Source organism: Homo sapiens, chromosome 22 (assembly GCF_000001405.40).
Source record: "Homo sapiens chromosome 22, GRCh38.p14 Primary Assembly".
In the NCBI taxonomy this organism is placed as follows: domain Eukaryota; kingdom Metazoa; phylum Chordata; class Mammalia; order Primates; family Hominidae; genus Homo; species Homo sapiens.
Window position 1 is genome coordinate 43,373,695 of NC_000022.11, and position 19,578 is coordinate 43,393,272.

General features: G+C 47.3%; 1 long non-coding RNA gene across 3 annotated transcripts, besides 2 other annotated features; it reads right to left on the bottom strand.

Annotated features, from left to right (window-relative positions):
- Positions 1-299: 299 nt before the first annotated feature.
- Positions 300-17,713, bottom strand: LOC105373053 (uncharacterized). 3 transcript variants are annotated; one of them, XR_938288.3, is made up of 4 exons: positions 17,610-17,713; positions 17,242-17,389; positions 14,393-14,525; positions 300-338 (listed from the first exon to the last, which is right to left on the bottom strand). It is a non-coding gene; the product is annotated as an uncharacterized LOC105373053 (long non-coding RNA). The 3 variants fall into 3 exon arrangements; XR_001755577.2 differs by lacking the exon at positions 300-338 and adding an exon at positions 6,309-12,388; XR_007068121.1 differs by lacking the exon at positions 300-338 and adding an exon at positions 9,617-12,388 and having other exon boundaries at positions 17,242-17,386.
- Positions 14,368-14,946: an enhancer, noted in NCBI's record as "H3K27ac-H3K4me1 hESC enhancer chr22:43784068-43784646 (GRCh37/hg19 assembly coordinates)". NCBI's record gives its function as "activates a minimal SCP1, AML or CMV promoter by ChIP-STARR-seq in primed H9 embryonic stem cells {active_cell/tissue: H9 hESC(primed)}" and the evidence as "EXISTENCE:reporter gene assay evidence [ECO:0000049][PMID:30033119]".
- Positions 14,947-15,525: an enhancer, noted in NCBI's record as "H3K27ac-H3K4me1 hESC enhancer chr22:43784647-43785225 (GRCh37/hg19 assembly coordinates)". NCBI's record gives its function as "activates a minimal SCP1, AML or CMV promoter by ChIP-STARR-seq in naive and primed H9 embryonic stem cells {active_cell/tissue: H9 hESC(naive and primed)}" and the evidence as "EXISTENCE:reporter gene assay evidence [ECO:0000049][PMID:30033119]".
- Positions 17,714-19,578: the final 1,865 nt, after the last annotated feature.

Consider the following 19,578-nt stretch of genomic DNA (forward strand, 5'->3'; position numbering starts at 1 on the left):
CATTTCTTCTTCCTGGAAGCTTCTCTTCATCCTGGAGGCTCATTTTTCATGATGATGTGTCATATTAGGGCTCTCTTTTTATGGCTTGCCTGAAGAAGTACTTGGTGGATCCTTGTACTTTTTAAAATTTAGGTCCTTTAATTTTGAAAAACTCCCCAAATTATTTATTAATCTCTTCCCCCACTTTCTCTGGTCTTTCTGGACCTTCTGTTAACTGGATGTAGGCTGGGTGCAGTGGCTCACGCCTGTAATCCTAGCACTTTGGGAGGCTGAGGTGGGCAGATTGCTTGAGTCCAGGAGTTTGAGACCAGCCTGGGCAACACGGTGAAACCCCGTCTCTACAAAAATAAAATAAAATATATAAATAAATAAATGGATGTCTTGAACTGCTCCATTGTTTTTTTCCCCACTTCTGTATGAAGTCTCTCCAGAGAAACAGAACCAACTGTGTGTGTGTGTGTGTGTGTGTGTCTCATGAGAGAAGTCCCGCAATCTGCTGTCTGAAAGCTGGAGACTCAGGAAAGCTGGTGGTATAGCTCTGAGAACCCAAGGGCTAATGGGGTTCCTGTCAGTCCTAGTCTGAGGGCAGAAAAAGACCCACGTCCAGCTCAAGCAGTCAGGCACACAGCAAATTTGCCCTTCCTCCACCTTTCTGTTCTATTCAGGGCCTCAAGATTTGGATGGTGCCTGCCCACATTGGGGAGGGCCATCTGCTTTACTCAGGCTACTGAGTCAAATGTTGATCTCCTCAGGGAGGACCCTCAACAGACACATTCTAGAATAATGTTTAGCAAAATATGTGGGCACCCCACGATCCAGCCAAATTGATGCATAAAATTAATCATCATACCTTCTGTTTTGCATCTCTGTCCTTTTGGTATATTTCCTCAAATTTATATTCCAGCTCTTCTACTAATTGTTTAAAATCTCTGCTGTTTTTAGTTTCCAAGAGCTCTTTTTAGATTCTCAGAATATTCATTTTTTGCAGTGTCCTGTTCTTGTTTCATGAGTATAATATCTTCTTCTTTTCTTTCTCTAAGAATGTCAATGGCAGCTTTTAAAATTTTTTCCTAGGGCGTATGTGGTGGCTCATGCCTATAACCCCAGTGCTTTGGGCGACCAAAGCAGGAAGATTGCTTGAGGCCAGGAGTTCGAGACCAGCCTGGGCAACATGGAGAGACTCCATCTGTACAAAAAAATTGTTTTTAAAATTAGCTGGGCATGGTGGTGCATGCCTGTAGTGCTAGATTCTAGGAAGGCTGAGACGAGAGGATTGCTTGAGCCCAGGAGTTCAAGGTTACAATGAGCTATGAACATGCCACTGTACTCCAGCCTGGGCAACAGAGTGAGACCCCATCTCTGAAAAAAAGAAAGTTTTCCTCCCCTAAAATAGTTTCTATTTCTTCCAAGTTACTTTTACCTGAGTCATTTGTTTCAGCTTTGCTGCTTTCCTCCCAAGTCTAACAATCCTTGGTTGCCTGTTCATGGGATTGGTCCTTCTGAGTGTGTGAGTGGCGCTTGGTGATAAGAGCTTTCCTGAAGGTCATTTGACTGGGAGGATTGGTTTGGGAAATGTCTCTGTATAAAGACATTTTCCCTGGGCTGGTAAGATTCCCTGAAGAAACCTCTTCCAGTCTCTTGCCTGACAGTGAAGGACCGGCTGCTAGTGTTCTAGGACAAGGGTGGGAGGAAAGTTGTAGGATTCTCAGCATTCCATATGCACCTGTCCAGAGGATCTCTCTCACTCTTTCCAGAGTATAAACCTCTAGGTCCCTGCCAGGGAGTGGTTGAGAGGTGTGTTGCATGGCTTCCTGGAGCTGGGGAGAAGACTCTGGGGCTTTAACATCCTCGAAGAGATGTTCAATTAGTTCTACTCTCATTTTATTTTATTTTATTTTTTGTTATTTAATTATTTTCTTTGAGACAGAGTCTTACTCTGTCACCCAGGCTGGAGTGCAAATGGCACGATCTCGGCTCACTGCAACCTCCACCTCCCAGGTTCAAGTGATTCTCCTGCCTCAGCCTCCCAAGTAGCTGGGATTACAGGCACGCGCCACCACGCCCAGCTAATTTTTGTATTTTTAGTAGAGATGGGGTTTCACCATGTTGGCCAGGCTGGTCTCGAACTCCTGACCTCAGGTGATCCATATTCCTCAGCCTCCCAAATTGCTGCGATTACAGGTATGAGCCACCGTGCTGGGCCTGGAAGCCCTTATGTATTTTAACTTTTAATGTCTGTCTGGCCCATTAGTCAGTGAGTGTCCTCAGGACAAGGAACGGTTCCAAATCCTGTCCAAGTCCCCTGAGTCAGCAGAGGACCCAGCCTCAATCAATCCTAGTTTGATGTTTTAGAAGACAAAACCAGGGTTGACCTTCCCCCAAGAGATCCAAGTTCAGACCCCAGTTCTGCTATTGGCTTACTGGAATTGGACAAATCATTTTATTTCTCTGCCTCAATTTCTTCATCTGCAAAATGGGTGTCTCCAGATTTCCTCACAAAGTTGACATGAAACAGTGCTAAGAAGATGTGCGTGGGAGCACTGAATGAGCATTAGACCCGTTTAGAACTGTTGGTGGTTAATAGTAATACTAAAAGAATGACTGCAATGTTAGTAACGGTAGAAAGAATACAGGACTGGAGGTCAGGAGAGCAAGGCTATAATCCTGTGTCTGCCACTGACTGTTTTTTAAAAATCATGTTATTTTTTATTTTTTTGAGACAGGATCTCACTCTGTTGTCCAGGCTGGAGTGCAATGGCACAATCGCAGCTCACTGCAATCTTGACCTCCTGGGCTCAAGCAATCCTCCTACCTCAGCCTCCGGAGTAGCTGGGACTACAGGTGCACACCATCAGGCCCTGATAATTTTTGTATTTTTTGTAGAGACGGGGTTTTGCCATGTTACCCAGGGTGGTCTTGAACCCCTGGGCTCCAGCGATCCTCACACCTCAGCCTCCCAAATTTCTGGGATTACAGGCATGAGCCAGTGCTCCTGGCCTAAAATTACTTTAATCATGTCTCTCTCTCTCTCTCTCAGATTCAATTTCTTCTACTCCTCCTCCTTTATCATCATCAACCTCATCATTATCATTATCATCTACTAAGCATCAGTACAACAATACAAACGCGGCATTTGTCATCGTGAGCACTTAGTAAGCACTAGCACTCTCTAAGCACTGTGATTATGTGTGATTGCCTATATAATTTTATCTGATTGCTGTGTTGACCTCACAAGGTGGGTTTTCTAGCATCAGTTTTACAGTTCAGCAACTGAAGGCTCAGGTCAAATGCATTGCCCAGGAGCACCCGGCTAAGAGGTGAAGAAGGCGTCAACCGCAGTGTGGTGAGGTTCACAAGCTTGTCTGTCACCTCCAAGCTTCGCTGTCCCCAGGGGCCTCTGGGACCTGCTGAGCTGCAATGCTTTGTGGTTCTTCTGATGCCTTCAGAAGGGGTATGTGAGACCACACGTTCAGGGGCTGGGGGGCTGCCTCCCGTTATAACTCATGAGAGTTCCTTTCTGACCCTCATTTTAAGTTCGTTTTACATCACGAGTGTTTTAAGGTTTTTGGTGTGTGTTTTTTTTTTTTTTTTTTTTTTTTTTTTTTGTAGAGTTAAAACACACTTTCCCAAGGTTGGCGGCTCAAATGTAGACTTTTAGACACTGTTTGGCTTGGCACAGCTTCCAAACGTCTCCCAGCCACTGTTGCTCTATATTTCTTTTTGCCAGGACATAGATCAGAAATAACTCAGCTGTGAAAAAAAATTATAAGCTTGCCGGCAGCCCGTGAAGGAGATGAATTGCTGGAGGGCTATTTTTCCCCCTTGAGTCAGAAGTGTGAAGGTAGGTGGGAGAAGGAGCAAGGTTTTGAAAGACCCATGTATATTTAGGGACCGGGATTGCTTCCATTTTAAGAAAGATGAGGGTTGAAGCATGCACGCTCCATCAGACAGTCCAGCGCTTTCCCTGCCAGGCTCTTGACGCCCGTCGGTTGGGCCTTCTGGTTAGGGCTGCTAAGATCCACAGGCCCAGCTTTGGTTGGTGTGATTCCAACTGGCAAGAAGCATTTTCATTTTGTGGCACGAAAACTTTTTTTTTGCAGGTCAGTTTTGAAGCTTTCTGTGACCATATCCTGGTTGAAATGCATTCCCCGGTACAGAGGGGAAGCTGTGATTAACAACGGGTGACGTGCAAATATGCTGCACGCATATAACAGCCATCACTCCATTATTCAACTTTCTCCATACATTTCTCCAGAGTCTTCATTGTTTCATGTCCACATCAAGGTTGAGAGCCCCTAACTTTCCCTTCCTCCTGGCCCTTGAAAAGCCCATGTAAGAGGACACACTGCAACAACAGCAACAGCAACCCACAGATACATCTGTGAATATGCTCTTGTGTGTGTTAAAAGAAAAGCATGGGCTCACGGCCAAGGCACACTCTGGAAAGTTCTCAGAGAGAGAGAGAGAGAGCTTCTGTTTCTGGCACTCTGCCAGATTCGATACCTTTAATCACTCCCCTGATTATAACCAAAATGCTGGATAAAATATTGTTTTAATCTTTGTTTTTTTTTTTACACATTGCTGAGTTAGCATGAAAGCAAGAAAGTTACGGATCTCCAACATGAAGCAAAGGTAGACGCCTTGGAGACTTGGAGCCTGTGTTTCCATAGCTGTGTGAGGTGCAAGGGACAGGAGATAAAGTCTGGGCTTCCCCCAAGGGGGGCTGTAATAGGAGACCTCTTCAAAGCCTGAGTCCAAAAGGTCTATGTCTAGAGTGTCAGAAAGAATGAAAAGCAAATCTCACCCCGCAGAGGAGAACAGAAAGGAAGCCTGCCTGCCCTGACCTTGACATTGGGTTGAGAGAAACATATCTCCACTGAGAATCTGTAACCACAAGCTGGCCCTCACGTGATTTTCAGTTTGAATTCCTGCTACTTGTGTGGTTTAAAAAAACTCAAGTTGAAAATTGAAACTGGCCCCTGCTTGATAGTACCCGCAGTCAGCTTGCAGAAGCAAACCTTAAACCTTCCTCGAGGAATTCAGCTACAATCTCAGCCTTATAGAAATGTCCACAAAGTCCCCAAGAAAATGAGCAGCTCCCAGTGAAAATTAATAAACTTCACAAGGAAGATAAGAGAACCAGCAGAAACAAGAGACAGTACAAGTGGAACCTTAGAGCTTTCAGATTTGAAATGATCACAGGCAGAATATACACTTAAAATAACTAGTTTTATGTTTTCAAACAATTAAAATTGAAGTTCAGGGAATAAGAGAGCATAAGGAACAACCAGGGCTGAGCGCGGTGGCTCACGCCCGTAACCCCAACACTTTGGGAGGCTGAGGTGGGTGGATCACTTGAGGTCAGGAGTTTGAGACCAGCCTGGTCAACATGGTAAAACTCTGTCTCTACTAAAAATACAAAAATTAGCTGGGTGTGAAGGCATGTGCCTGTAATCCCAGCTACTTGGGAGGCTGAGGCAGGAGAATGGCTTGAACCCGGGAGGCAGAGGTTGCAGTGAGCCGAGATCGTGCCATTTGCACTCCAGCCTGGGAGACAGAGGAAGACTCCATCTAAAAAAAAAAAAAAAAAAAAAAAAAAAAAAGGAACAACCAGATTTGAAAAAGAATCAAATAAAATGTACAGAAGTGAAAAATGTAGCATTTGAAATTTGAAATGAGCAGAGCGAGCAGCAGATTACACACAGCCAAAGAGAGGTTTAATAAGCTAGTAGAACCAAAGGAATTATCCAGAAAAATTAAGTGGCAGGGCCTAATGTACGTGTATTTAGAGTTCTAGAAGGAGCTAACAGAATAGGAGAACGGGCAATACACGAAGAGGTAATGGCTGATACTTTTGTGAAATTATACATAACAAATCTCAGATCCAGGAAGCCCAGTGAATCCCAAGCAAGATAAATAAAAAGAAATTCACATTTACATACATCCCAAGAAAACTATGGAACATCAGAGAAAAAGAGATGTTGAAAGCATCTGGCTAGGCGCCGTGGCTCACACCTGTAATCCCAGCACTTTGGGAGGCCGAGGTGGGCAGATCACCTGAGGTCAGGAGTCCAAGGCCATCCTGGCCAACATGGTGAAACACTGTCTCTACTAAAAATACAAAAATTAGCCTGGCATGGCGGTGGGCACTTATAATCCCAGCTACTGGGAAGACTGAGGCAGGAGAATCACTTGAACTCATGTGGCGGAGGTTGCAGTGAGCCGAGATCACCCCATTGCACTCCAGCCTGGGCAACAAGAGTGAAACTACGCCTCAAAAACAAACAAACAAACAAAAGCCCCCCAAAACAAAACAAGACAAGCAAACAAACAAAAAAACTCTAAAGGATCATTTACAGCTGATGTATCACTATCCTCAATGGAAACCAGGAGACAGTGGAATTATATCTTTCATGTGCTGGAAAAAAAACAACGGTCAACTTAGAACTCTTTACTATCCTACTGAACTGAGGGTGAAATGAAGACATATTCAGACAAAAAGAAATGGTGAGATTTTACCTCCAAAAGATCTTCACTAAGGACACATTTAAATGTAATGTAGTTCAGACAGAATCAAAATTATTCCAGAGAAAAGGCAAGGCATACAAGAAGGAACAATGGGCACATATGTTGGAAACATTTGATGGAAAACTAAACAACAACGGAGTATAGGACTCCACGATAATAATGCCTAACTTATGGTAGGAAAAATGGGCTAGTATTAAAATACTGGACAATACCATATAATATGGGACGGATGCTCAAAATTCAAGTTGTGAATGTCTTTCCATTATTTGGGGAGAAGGCAAATATATTAAGTTTAGACTTTGTTAAGTGCTCAGTGTTAAGATAGCTAGAGTAAGCACTAAAAACTAGTCATAGAGCTGATAACTTCTAAATAATTAGAAAGAAAAAATAGGATAAGAAAAAGAAGATAAAAATCTCAAATGATACAAAGGAAGATTAGAAAGGGGGCTGAGGGTAGGAAATATAGAATGAATAGAAAATACATTATGAGACCATGGAAATTAATCTACATTTATGTTGTCAGTAATTCATATTAAAGGACTAAACACTTTAGTTGAAAGATGACTGTCTGAATGAATTTTAAAAACAGAGATTATGTTCTGTTTACAAGAGAGCATAATCCCATACCTCAAACATAGGAACCAAGAACTGTTGAAAGTCCAAGTATAGAAAAAATATGTGGCCGGGCACAGTGGCTCACGTCTGTAATCCCAGCACTTTGGGAGATTGAGGCAGGTGGATCACCTGAGGTTGGGAGTTCGAGACCAGCCTAAAAAACATGGAGAAACCCCGTCTTTACTAAAGAGACAAAAAATTAGCCAGGTGTGGTGGTGCACACCTGTAATCCCAGCTACTCGGGAGGCTTAGGCAAGAGAATCGCTTGAACCCAGGGGGTGGAGGTTGCAGTGAGCTGAGATCGTGCCATTGCACTCCATTATCTAGTGATCCAGAGTCACTAGATAATGGTGGAAGGCTCAATTCACCAGGAAGCTGTACCAGTTCTCAATTTATATATAATATCATCATAGCTGCAAAAAATATAAAGCAAAAATGGAAGGGACAAGAATAGATATCTCCACCTTTAGGATGGGATATTTTTAGGCCATTTTGGTGAAGAAATCAAAGATTTGAGGAACACAATGACAAGTTTCATATAATCAACATGTAGCATATGAAACCCCGAAATGGGGGAGAACACATTCTTTTCAAGCATGCATGGGACATTTGGAAAGTATCATAGACTATAAAGCTAACCTCAATGCACGTCCAAGATCAGGCTGGTAGGTCGGATCTCCTGGGAGTCAGGCTCTGAGATGGGGATTGGGGTGCAGGAATTTTATTTGGGAACATTCCTTGGATCAGCACTTGTGGAATGCATGGGATGAGACAGGTCTGCACAGATGGAGAGGTGGAGCAGCAATGCAATACCCACGGAAGCCTCTGCCAGCTCCGCAGAGAGTGCTGGAGCTGGGTAGTCCTTCAGAAGGGTGTGAGTTGGTAAGGAACCAGGCCTTTACATTCTCACCCTGAGCAGCCATTGCATGCAGGCTGCTCATTGAAGGAGGCATGGTCTTGACTGGGCAAGTCAATTTCCTCAGCCCACATAACTTCCTAAGAGAGCAGACAGCTGGGGGCCATCCTCCAGCAGCTCTCGCAGCAGCTGGGGGACTAAGTCCTTCGTTCCGGAAGAGGAAGCTGTGCTGTAGTCATAGCTTCCACCACAATGTGTACACAGACTATATTCTCTGATCACAATCTAAACAAGTTAGATGTTAATAACCAAAAAGACAACAAGCAAATGCCTGTACTTTAGGAAAAACAGTACATCCAAACAACTCGCGGTCCAAAAACGAAATCACAACTAAAATTAGAAAATACTTAGAATTGAGCATTCACAAAAATGTTTTGCATCACGACTTGTGAGATCCAACCAAAGCAGTATTTAGAGGAGTGTTTATAATCTTAAATGCTTGTATTGGCAAATAAGAAATGCTTCATGGCCCAGGTGTGGTGGCTCACGTCTGTAATCTCAGAACTTTGAGAGGCCGAGGTGGGTGGATTGCTTGAGCCCAGGAGTTCGAGACCAGCCTGGGCAACCTGGCAAAACCATGTCTCTACAAAAAATACAAGAATTAGCTGGGCATGGTGGTGCACACCTGTAGTCCCAGTTACTTTGGAGGCTGAGGCAGGAGGATTGCTTGAGCCCAGGAGGTGAAAGTTACAGTGAGCTGAGATGGTGCCACTGCACTCCAGCATGGGCAAAAGAGAAAGACTCTGTCTCAAAAATAAAACAAAAGAAGAAGAAAAAAGAAATGCTTCAAATGAACGAACTAAGCATCTGACTTAAAAGTTAAAATAAGAACAGCAGAATAAACCCCAAGATATTAAAAGGAATCAAATGTTAAGAACAGAAATTAGGGCCAGGCGTGGTGGCTCATGTCTATAATCCCAGCAGTTTGGGAGGCCAAGGTGGGCAGATCATGAGGTCAGGAGATTGAGACCATCCTGGTTAACACAGGTGAAACCCCGTCTCTACTAAAAATACAAAAAAATTAGCCAGGCATGGTGGTGTGCACCTGTAGTCCCAGCTACTCAGGAGGCTGAGGCGGGAGAATGGCATAAACCTGGGAGGTGGAGCTTGCAGTGAGCCGAGATCATGCCACTGCACTCCAGCCTGGGTGACAGAGCGAGACTCCATCTAAAAAAAAAGCACAGAAATTAATGACGTAGAAAACAAACCTAAATGGTTGGGAATGGTGGCTTACACCTGTAATCCCGCACTTTGAGAGGCCGAGGCAGGTGGATCACTTGAGACCAGGAGTTCAAGACCAGCTTGGCCAACATGGCAAAACCCTGTCTCTGCTAAAAAATACAAAAATAAGCCAGGCGTGGTGGTGGGCACCTGTAGTCCCAGCTACTCGGGAGGCTGAGGCAGGAGAATCACTTGAACCCAGGAGTTGGGAGGCTGCAGTGAGCTGAGATCACACCACTGTACTCCAGCTTGGGCAACAGAGTGAGATGCCATCACACAAAAAAACAAAAAACAAACAAACAAACAAAAAAACCGGAAAACAAACCTAAGTAGGGAAGAGAATCAAAGACAAAATATTATTTTTTGAAAGGACTAAAAAATTATAAAAATCTCTTACAAGTTTAAGACATAAGAGAGAGCACAGATAAACAATACTAGGGATGAAAGAAGGGACATAATTCTAGATTTTTCATAGAGTAAATGAATAATATTAAATATCACAAGACTGTTATAAGTGACTGTATGCCAATACATAAGAAGTCTTAAACAAAATTGCCAAATTCCTAGAAAAATACAATTTACTGAAGTTGACTCAAGAAAAAACAGAAAACCTGAAAGGTCCTATAATCACTTAATACATTAATTTAGTAGTTTAAAATCTTCCTATAAAGAAAACGTCTGTCCCAGATGACAATTCCAGATATGTGAATTTGGAATTCACCAAATTAATAGCCCAGCTCTCTCTGGAAGATGGTGGGATGAACCAAATCCTAATTTGGCTAAACAGTCAAAGAACAAATCAGTTCAAGCTTACCCAAATTTCTACTCCACAGTGGAGAAACACAGTCAACACTTACCAGTTTACCTTATTCGGTTAGCATAAGCTGGCTAATCAGATGATGACAGTACAATAAAGAAAACTTTCAAGTCAATTTTACCCATGAGCATAGATTCCAAGAATTCTTGAAAATTATTAGCACAGTGAATTCAGCAATAATAATAAAAAATACAGTACAGGCCGGGTGCAGTGGCTCACGCCTATAATCCCAGCACTTTGGGAGGCCGAGGCAGGTGAATTGCCCGAGCTCAGGAGATTGAGACCACCTGGGCAACATGGTAAAACCCGTCTCTACTAAAAATACAAAAAATTAGCCAGGTGTGGTGGCAGGCGCCTGTAGTCCCAGCTACTTGGGAGACTGAGGCAGGAGAATCTCTTGGACCCTGGAGGCAGAGGTTGCAGTGAGCCGAGATCGTGCCACTGCACTCCAGCCTGGGCTACAGAGTGAGACTCCATCTCAAAGAAAAAAAAAACAAAAACAAAAAACCCCAGCATATTATGATGAAGTTATGTTTATCTTATGAATGCAATTCCTATTATTAGGAAATTAATTAATATAATTCATTCCATTAACAGCTTAAAGAAAAAACACATAATCATTGCAATAGGACCTGGGTGACATCAGGCACTATTGTTCACCTGGTTGAGGTTTGGGAGACTTTACGACTTATACTGTGGGCAGGAGATAGTGGAGGGGCCCCGTCTATGGGAATCGGGTGGGAAACTGAGAAGGGTGTGCATGGAAGTGGCAATGATTATGAATCTGGCTTTGGACAAAATAGGATAGGAGGTAGTACTCTACGCGCCCCCTTCCTGCTTTTTGGGGCCTGGAGAGGAAACCCAAGTTATCTAAATGGCTTGACTCTTCCTCTCCCTCTGCCCACACCCACCCCCATCTCGCTATCTCACTGTAAGTCTCTTCTGTGATTATTATCACCTGGGGGTTGCAACCTCCAAAGCCTACAGTGGCCAGACAGGTGGCAAAAATGTATAACGTGGGCTGAGCGTAAAAAATATTAGATATTACACAGTTTACATATAATGCATTTTGGTTGCATGCTTCTTAAAAATTGCCTTCTGTCACCTGAAGAAAATTGTTTCTGATTTTTTTTCTTCAAATAGGCAGACTTCTCTGCCCAGCTTTCTTTCCTGCACACTTGATGGGGCAAGGAAATACTCCCTCGCTGTAAAAAGCACATCAGTGAAGCCCAGTGCTCGACAGCAGCTGACCTGGGCCCCCAGAGCTGGGGATGCAGCAGGGAGCGGTGAAGCCTGTAGCAAACTGAAGAGTGTGTGTCCCAATCCGAAATCACAGCCCAGATGTAGTTCAAGGCAATTTTTGTCATCTTAAAAAACGGGCCTGGGGAGAATCCACAGAGTTTGGTGATGAGTTGGATGGGAGATGTGGGGTTAAGGAGCTCAGAGAAGTTTTGGGAGATGCCAGGTTTCAGGCTGGGGGTCTCTGTGCAGTGGTGCCTCCCACTGACAGAAGACAGAGAGGGAAGGGCAATGGCTTTGGACAAACTGAGTTTGCAACTGGCTGTAGGACATCCTGGGGGCTGTCGTGGGTGGGTCAGGGCTCCAGGAGGCAGCCCATTCTCTCTGGAAGACGGTGGGACGAACCAATACGGCCTCTGAGTCTGACTCTGCGTCTACCTCAGGCAAATTGCGTCAGCCTCTGGAGTCTCCTTTTCTTCTGCACGGAGGCAGTGATACCATGAAGCCTCCACTTCTGTGAAATGGAGACTTGGACCTGGTCAGTGGTTCCGTGCTTCTTTTGATTATTCGCCGCACCCCAGCCTGGCAGAGGCACTTGATGTTATCCGGAGCCTGGGCTGCCTGGGTGGGGACACAAGCCTCCATTTCACAGAAGAAGTGGAGTCTTTCATGCACCAAGGCAGCGGAGGGGGCAGGACACAGCCTGGGCCCCTCGCAGACCCTAGAGGTCCCCGACGTGGCCCCTTCCTCCTCTGAGCCTTGCTGGCTGCAACCGCCCAGTCGTTCTCAGCAGGGATGGAAGAAGCCTCAGTGCGAAGCCCGGCGATGGCCGGGGCGCTGCTGCCCTCGTGTGGCCGACATGGAGAGGTGCCGGTTATGATGAGCAGGGAGTGATTTTCTGGCGAAACGCGGCCGCACGGCTCAGGCTGTTCCACTGACAAACTGCAGCTGACTCTCCCTGTTGACCGGGGTTTGATTCCAGCACTGCCCAGCTGGAACCCAGCACTGCGTGACACTGGGAATGTCTCTTTTCTGGGCCTCAGTTTCCCCAGCTGGAAAATGATGGAAGCAGGGGTTTTATGGGGGCTAAGTGAAGTCACGGATGTGAGAGTACCAAGCATTGTGCAAGGTGGTTGGTGTGTGCACGGTCCAAATTTGCCCATCCAGTCTTTCTTTCTCTTTCTTACTCTTTCTTTCTTTCTCTCTCTTTCTTTCTTTTCTTTCTTTCTTCTTTCTTTCTTTTCCTTCCTTTTCTTTCTTCTTTCTTTTCCTTCCTTCCTTCCTTCCTCCCTCCCTCCCTCCCTCCCTCCCTCTTTCTTTCTTCTTCTTTTCTTTCTTTCTTTCTTTCTCTTTCTTTTCTCTCTCTCTTTCCTTTCTTTCTTTGTTTTCTTTCTTTCTTCTTTCTTCCTTTTCCTTCCTTCCTCCCTCCCTCCCTCTTTCTTTCTTCTTTCTTTCTTTCTTCCTTTCTTTTCTCTCTCTTTCTTTCTTTCCTCTCTCTCTCTTTCTTTCTTTCCTCTCTCTCTCTTTCTTTCTTTCCTTCTTTCTTTCTTTTCAGAGTTTCGCTTTTGTTGCCCAGGCTGGAGTTCAATGGTGCTATCTCAGCTCACTGTAACCTCCGCCTCCCAGGTTCAAGCGATTCTCCTGCCTCAGCCTCCCAAGTAGCTGGGATTACAGTCACACACCACCACACCCAGCTAATTTTTTGTATTTAGTAGATACAGGGTTTCAGCATGTTGGTCAGGCTGGTCTCGAACTCCTGACCTCAGGTGATCCACCCGCCTCAGCCTCCCAAAGTGCTGGGATTACAGGAGTGAGCCACTGCGCCCGGCCTGCCCATCCATTATTCATCCATCATCTGGGGAGGCTGACAAGGTCCAGCCTGGGCAGCCATCTCCATCAGGGCTAACTCTGTGAGCACCAATTCCCCCGAGGCACTCTGCCCTCTGCTGACGGGATCATCTCGTCTTACCTGCCACCACCTGGGAGGCAGGTGTCACCGACATCCACATGGGAATGAGACAGGACAGCAGTGGGTGAGTGAGGTGACCTGCCCAAGGGCACAAGGCTTTGAAAACAGCAGTGGTGGGTTGGGAGCTGGACTCGAACCTGGCCTGTCTTTTCCACCACTTTTAGAGAAGTGCAGGACTCACACATAGGAGGGCTTTGGATTCCAGCTCAAGGAGGGTCTGCAGGTTACAGTGAGGGCCCGAAACTCAGAAAGCGAGGGGGCCTGCCCAGCAGTCTGGCCCGCGGAGCCCTCCCAGCTGCCCATGGATTGCATCACTGTCCCAAGGGGAGACAGGGCTGTCCTGCCGGCTGCCTCTTTGAGTCACCGTGTGGCCAGGGAGTCCTGCTGGCCTCCACAGTCACCGCCAAACCATTTTGGCCTTGGTCTTTCAAAGCCAGGTCATTTTGGGAAAACTGAGGACATCCAGCACCATGGAGGGGCGTGTGTGTCTCTGCACTGGCTGATGAAGGGAGGTGGGTGGGGAGAGTTAGAGTGCTTCGATCAACCTTGACCTTTAGACCAGCCGGTCTGACCTCTCATTATATAGACAGGCAGGGAAACTGAGGCCAGGGAGGAGATGGCAATTTGTAGGGGGCCCAGGCATGCTATGTTTTACTGCAGGCCCCTCTTCTGTTATGAAGGATGGTGGGCTAGTTTGCTGAAAAGGGAGGTGAGCAGAGGCAGAGGAAGGTGGTCTCTCGGGGACAGTGTCTGAGGACTCCGTTCTGTCTGCTTGTCGTTTTAGACAAGAGAGTCTGCAGCTCTTGCAGGGGGCCTGGTGTAACCCCTATAACCCCTAGCAGTGGTTGCAACCTGCTGAAACCAGCCTTTGGGGAAAGAGCTGCTCCCTGGACCCTTGTGAGGGAGGGGGTTGGAGGCTATTTCTGCAAACTGGCAGTGGGTCTATTGGGGACCCTGCACCTTCCCAGCCTCCTGGGGCCTGGACGACCCGGGTCCCTATCTGAGCCCCACCTTCTCTTGCTGTGTGATATTAGGGGAGTCACTGCACCTCTCTGAGCCTCCTCTGTAATATAGCAATGAATCCTACCTTGCAGAACTGGTGAGGAGATCATCTTAAACCGTGCTCCGTTCTCTCCTTCTCCACTAAGCGTGATTGTGCTTGCAATTAAATGGTTCTTTGTGTAATAAGTTGTTTAATCTCAGCCGCCGGTCCTCAGAGCCTGCAGGGACCATGAACATCTTGTTGGTCACCATGTCACTGGGCTGCCCCGCTGCACATTTGGGGAGTGAATGGAGATTTTTAGTCTGACACACCTCCAACATGTAAAAACGTCATGTCTGGGAAAAACACCTGAAACAGCTGTTGGGAGAAACTTGTGGGGAGGAGGATGTCGCGCCCCCGGCGGGAGCCCGGGACACATTGCCCAGGGCTGCAGACCGCTGTGCCCGTCTCAGTCTGGAAGGACCAAGGAGATGAGTGGGCACCAGCGTGCACTTCTCGCTTGCGTCCAGCAGGTGGCGCCCGCCGGCCAGTGGGGCCTGCAAGGAGGGCGGCTAGGCGGGAGGGCTCTGGGTGTTGTCAAGGTCGCCCCATCCCAGTGCATTCGTGTTTGGGGGTGTGTCTGCTCACAGCTCCCTGAAAGGAGCAGCGCACTTTTGTTCTTCCCTCTAGAGCCAGCTCCAGGTCGACAGCTTCAAGGGGGGCCCAGGTGGAAGTGACAGCCCCTGGTTGGAGCCCGGCCCCGGGTCTGGCTGGGGCAGGTGCTGGAACGTGGGAGCCAGAATGTTGGCATGAGGCAGGGGAGGCCAGGAAGCCAGGGATCCAGGGTGGGGGAAGGAGGGAGGAGCCATGGGTCACATGTTTCATTTGTTAAAACTGAATAAATGTATAAAAGTATAAAAGAATGCTTTTGAGGGGTAATTGGGTGCACCTGATAGGAAGGAAGGTGGAAAGAAATCTAAGCCGTACAAAAAGCATTCGGTAAAAACTAGGTCTCTTTGCTCCCTCCCTCCCCACCTCCCCACCCCAGAGGCCCCCAGAGGCCCCTTGGCTTCTGAAACATTCTTCCAGAGAATCTACCCAGGGGTGTGTGTGTGTGTCTGTGTGTGTGTAGGGGTGCTGCAAAGAGCCTGTTTGCTATAATTGTGTGGGAAGAAATAGTTTCATCTTGAAAACCCCTTAGCCAGAAAGATTCGGGTCCTTCTAGAGAAAAACCTTCTAGGGAGTTTTTAGGGTGGGAGACACTGAGTGGGTTCTTTAGGGTCCGGGTCCCAGTGCTAGCGCCCTTCACCAGGGGACAGTGCTTTGTAGTTTGCAAAGTCCCCTTTTGTGTTTTACACTTGAAATGGACTTTGGTCCTCCCAGCAGCTCAGGCTGGGGGTGTTAGTTTTCCCCATTGCACAGATGGAGACCAGGGCCAGAGAGATTAAGGGACAGCTACGTGCCACACAGCTGGTGACAGAGGCTAGAGTGTGGATCAGGGCATCCTGACCCCTCCGCCTGCCATGGTGATTTTCCAGATGGTTAGGGGAAGGCAGGAGGAGTTGTAGGGTTGGAGGAGGGAATCTGGCCTGTGTTCCCAGGGAGCCGGCAGGCACCAATCAGCTGACCCTGCTTAATTTAAGCCCTTCAAACTTATGGGTTCCTAAAGCCACTTGGAGTCAGCCTTCAAAATGCTCTCCTGTTCTCCCTCCTCCTCCTTCTCCCTCCTCCCTCTTCCCCCTTGTCAGGAATCTGTAAGAAGAGGGGAGAGTGGATTATAATGGCCCCCCGCGGAACTCACCTGCCATGAAAGGGTGTTAAATAACACGCAATTTACATGTCTTCCCTGTAGGAAATTATAGAATCAGAGCTTTCAAATTAGCAATAGATTTTTCTAATTGAATCTCTTTCCCGTATGGCAGGTGAAGTGAGAAATGATCAGGTAGTTCAGTTTCCCCTGCAAATGGACCACCAGACAATTGAAGGAATTAAATGCTTCTTAAAAGTGCAGGTAAAATTGTTGTTATTTTCTGGGAAGTTTGTCTGCCTAAAGATATTGCAGGTGCATTTGTGTCCATGTGATCACTGTGTGACAAGATGAAGGGTGTCTGCACCCAAAGAGGAGAATGATATGGAGGAAAGTGGATCTGGAAAACAGAAACTGGGGTGGGTGCTCCTGGGCCACCTCCCGCCTCTCCCACCAGCTCTTAGCTCAGAGCCAGGCTCTGGGCCTTGCTCTGGAGCCTCTCAGTCATTTTGACCTTTCTGAGCCTCAGTTTCTTCCTCTGTAAAAGGTGACCATAGCATGGATATGGTTCATGTGAGGAAGGAACAAGACAAAGCCTGTGCAGTACTTAACACAGTGCCCGGCACATAGTAGGTGTTCAATACACAAACATATCTCTATACTACCACTACTAATTCTTCTTCCTGTCATTGCTATTTGTTTGCCTGGTGGATTCATTGTCCATTGGTGCAAAATAAATTAGCACAATACTTGGAGGCTTACAGCAAAACACATTTATGATCTCCTGGTCTCTGTGGGGCAGGAGGCTGCACCGTGTCTTCAGGTCCTTTGCTCTAGGGTCTTTTTTTTTTTTTTTTTTTTTTTGAGACAGAGTCTTGCTCTGTCACCCAGGCTGGAGTGCAGTGGTGTGATCTTGGCTTACTGCAACTTCTGCCTCCTGGGTTCAAGCGATTCTCCTGTCTCATCTTCCTGAGTAGCTGGGATTACAGGTACATGCCACCATGCCTGGCTAATTTTTGTATTTTTAATAGAGACAGGGTTTCACCATGTTGGCCAGGCTGGTCTTGAACTCCTGACCTCATGTGATCTGCCCACCCCAGCCTCCCAAAGTGCTGGAATTACAGGTGTGAACCACTGCACCCGGCCAAGCTCTAGGGTCTTTGACAAGGCTACAATCAGGGTGGGAGAACAGGGTCTGCAATCTCACCTGAAAGCACCACCGGGGAAGGATCTGCTTCCTAACTCACATGGTTCTGGCAGAATTCAGCTCCCTGCAGACTGTTGGACTGGAGGACCTCAGCTCCTCAGCTCCTGGCCCCATGGGCCTCTCCACAATGGCAGTTGCTTCATCACTGCTGGCAAGATGGAGGCCATACACTTACATCACCTCATTGCAGAAATGACATTGTCCCATCACCTTTGGTGTACCCCATTGGCTAGAACCGAGTGTCCACACTCCAGAGGAAGTGTGTGACTACTGGGAGGCAGACATTGCCGAGGGCCTCTTAGACTCGGCCCAACACAGTAATCACCAGGGGCCCAAGGCAGAAGTTTCGTCAGAAGAAAAGGTGGTACCTGAGCCGGTCATGGTTCCTTGCCAGGTGGGGTGACCCAAACCTTCATTCCTAACGAGTCTGGGCTCTCAGTCCTGCCTTAACAGGGTTGTTGTGGTTTCTGTTGACTTTTTTCCAGTCCTGATTCTGCTGTCAAGGACCTGGGCCCTCTCCAGACTCAGGGCACTTTGACCCTGGGGATGTCACTTTGACCCAAGCCCTGATAGGTTGCTCTATACCTGTGATGCTCTTTGCTGTGGTGACTCAGCAGGACTCCTAGTCCTTTAGGGCAGGAGAAATCTCACTGGGAGAATCATCCACCTCAAACCAAACCTGCACCCAGGAAAACCTCTTGATTTTGATTAGAATCAAACCTTCCTAACCAAATTTAGCACTTATGACATCTGTCTCGGAAACATTGACCTTGGGAGAAAGCCATGGCTAGCAAAGGAAACCCATGGTGGCAGAAGCTAACTTGGGATGTGGCTGGAAACTGTTCGGAGGATGAAGTCTTCAGTGGAAACGTCACAGGGGGAAATATGGATGCCAGTGAAAATAAGTTCAGTGAAATGGAAATGAACATACAAATAATAAGTTAGAAACTGTTTGAAACACACTCGATAGAAGACCAGCCAAGGAACTAAATTCACGTAAGGAGCTTCCATCTGCAAAATACTTGCTCATGAAAAAGATACAATGCTGACAAAATTCTGATTAAAATTAAATGTGGCCAGGCATGGTGGCTCACGCCTATAATCCCAGCACTTTGGGAGGCCGAGGCAGGTGGATCACCTGAAGTCAGGAGTTCAAGACCAGGCCTGGCCAAGATGGTGAAACCCCGTCTCCACTAAAAATACAAAAATTAGCCAGGCGTGGTGGTGGGTGCCTGTAATCCCAGCTACTCAGGAGGCTGAGGCAGGAGAATTGCCTGGACCCGGGAGGCGGAGGTTGCAGTGAGCTGAGATTGTGCCACTGCACTCCAGCCTGGGCAACAGAGGAAGACTCCGTCTCAAAAAAAAAAAAAAAAATTAAATGTGATTCATAGACAAGGAGGAAGGCCTGGCCAGGAACCCCATTCTTCCTCGAGCCCACGTGCTGCCCCACCAAGCCCCGCTCCGTTCCCTCCAGTGCATGGGGCTCCCTGGGATCTGGCAGCTGTCCTGACCCAGGGATTGTCCCATTCCCAGGGAGAGGGACTTGATGGCAAACCCAGGGCTCCCCAGGTGTCATGGGGCAGATGCTCCCTTCCCAGGGCCCCTCAGGTAGGGGGATTGGGAGTGGGGTGCTCAGGGCTGGAGCAATAACCAGGGTCCTGGGGCGGAGATCCAGGCACAGACACCAGGTGGCCCTGCTGGGGGCTCACGTATGAACATGCAAGTGCAAAAGCCCAGAGCAGGAGACAGCAGGTGCCCAGGCTCAGCCGGGGGTCACTGTGGTAGGGACCTTGCCAGATGGTGGGCAGCTTGAAGCAGCAAGGAATGAGTAAAGTCTGTAAAAGGAGAGAGAGAGAGAGAGAGAGAGAACGAGAGAGAGAGAGAACAACAGCACACGTATGTGTGTGCCGGAGTCAGTAGTGGGTGGGGAGGAATGACCATCAAGCCTTTACCATGTCCTTACCTGGCCTCTGTGATCTACTAGAGACCCCAAGACAGTCCCAGGTGGAAGGTATTATTATTTGCCATTTTACAGATGAAGATCCAGGCTCGGGGAGTCTCTGCTCCAAGCCTTCACGACAGGCAGGTCCTAAGCCTAGGTCTGTCTGTCTTTCTGTGTCTCCAAAACTCCCTCAAGAACATGGCCGTCAGGCCCAGTCTTCCTGTGGGATCCTTTCTTGGGATGAAATCTTCCCTCCCTCAAGTATCCCTCTAATGAAAAGCACCCTTGTCTTACCCCTGGAAACTCTCTTTCTCTATTTCTTCCTCCACCCCCAACCCTTGGCTTCACCCTCCTGTGGCCCTTTGTCCCAGGCCTCAGCCTCCAGCCCTTTCCCA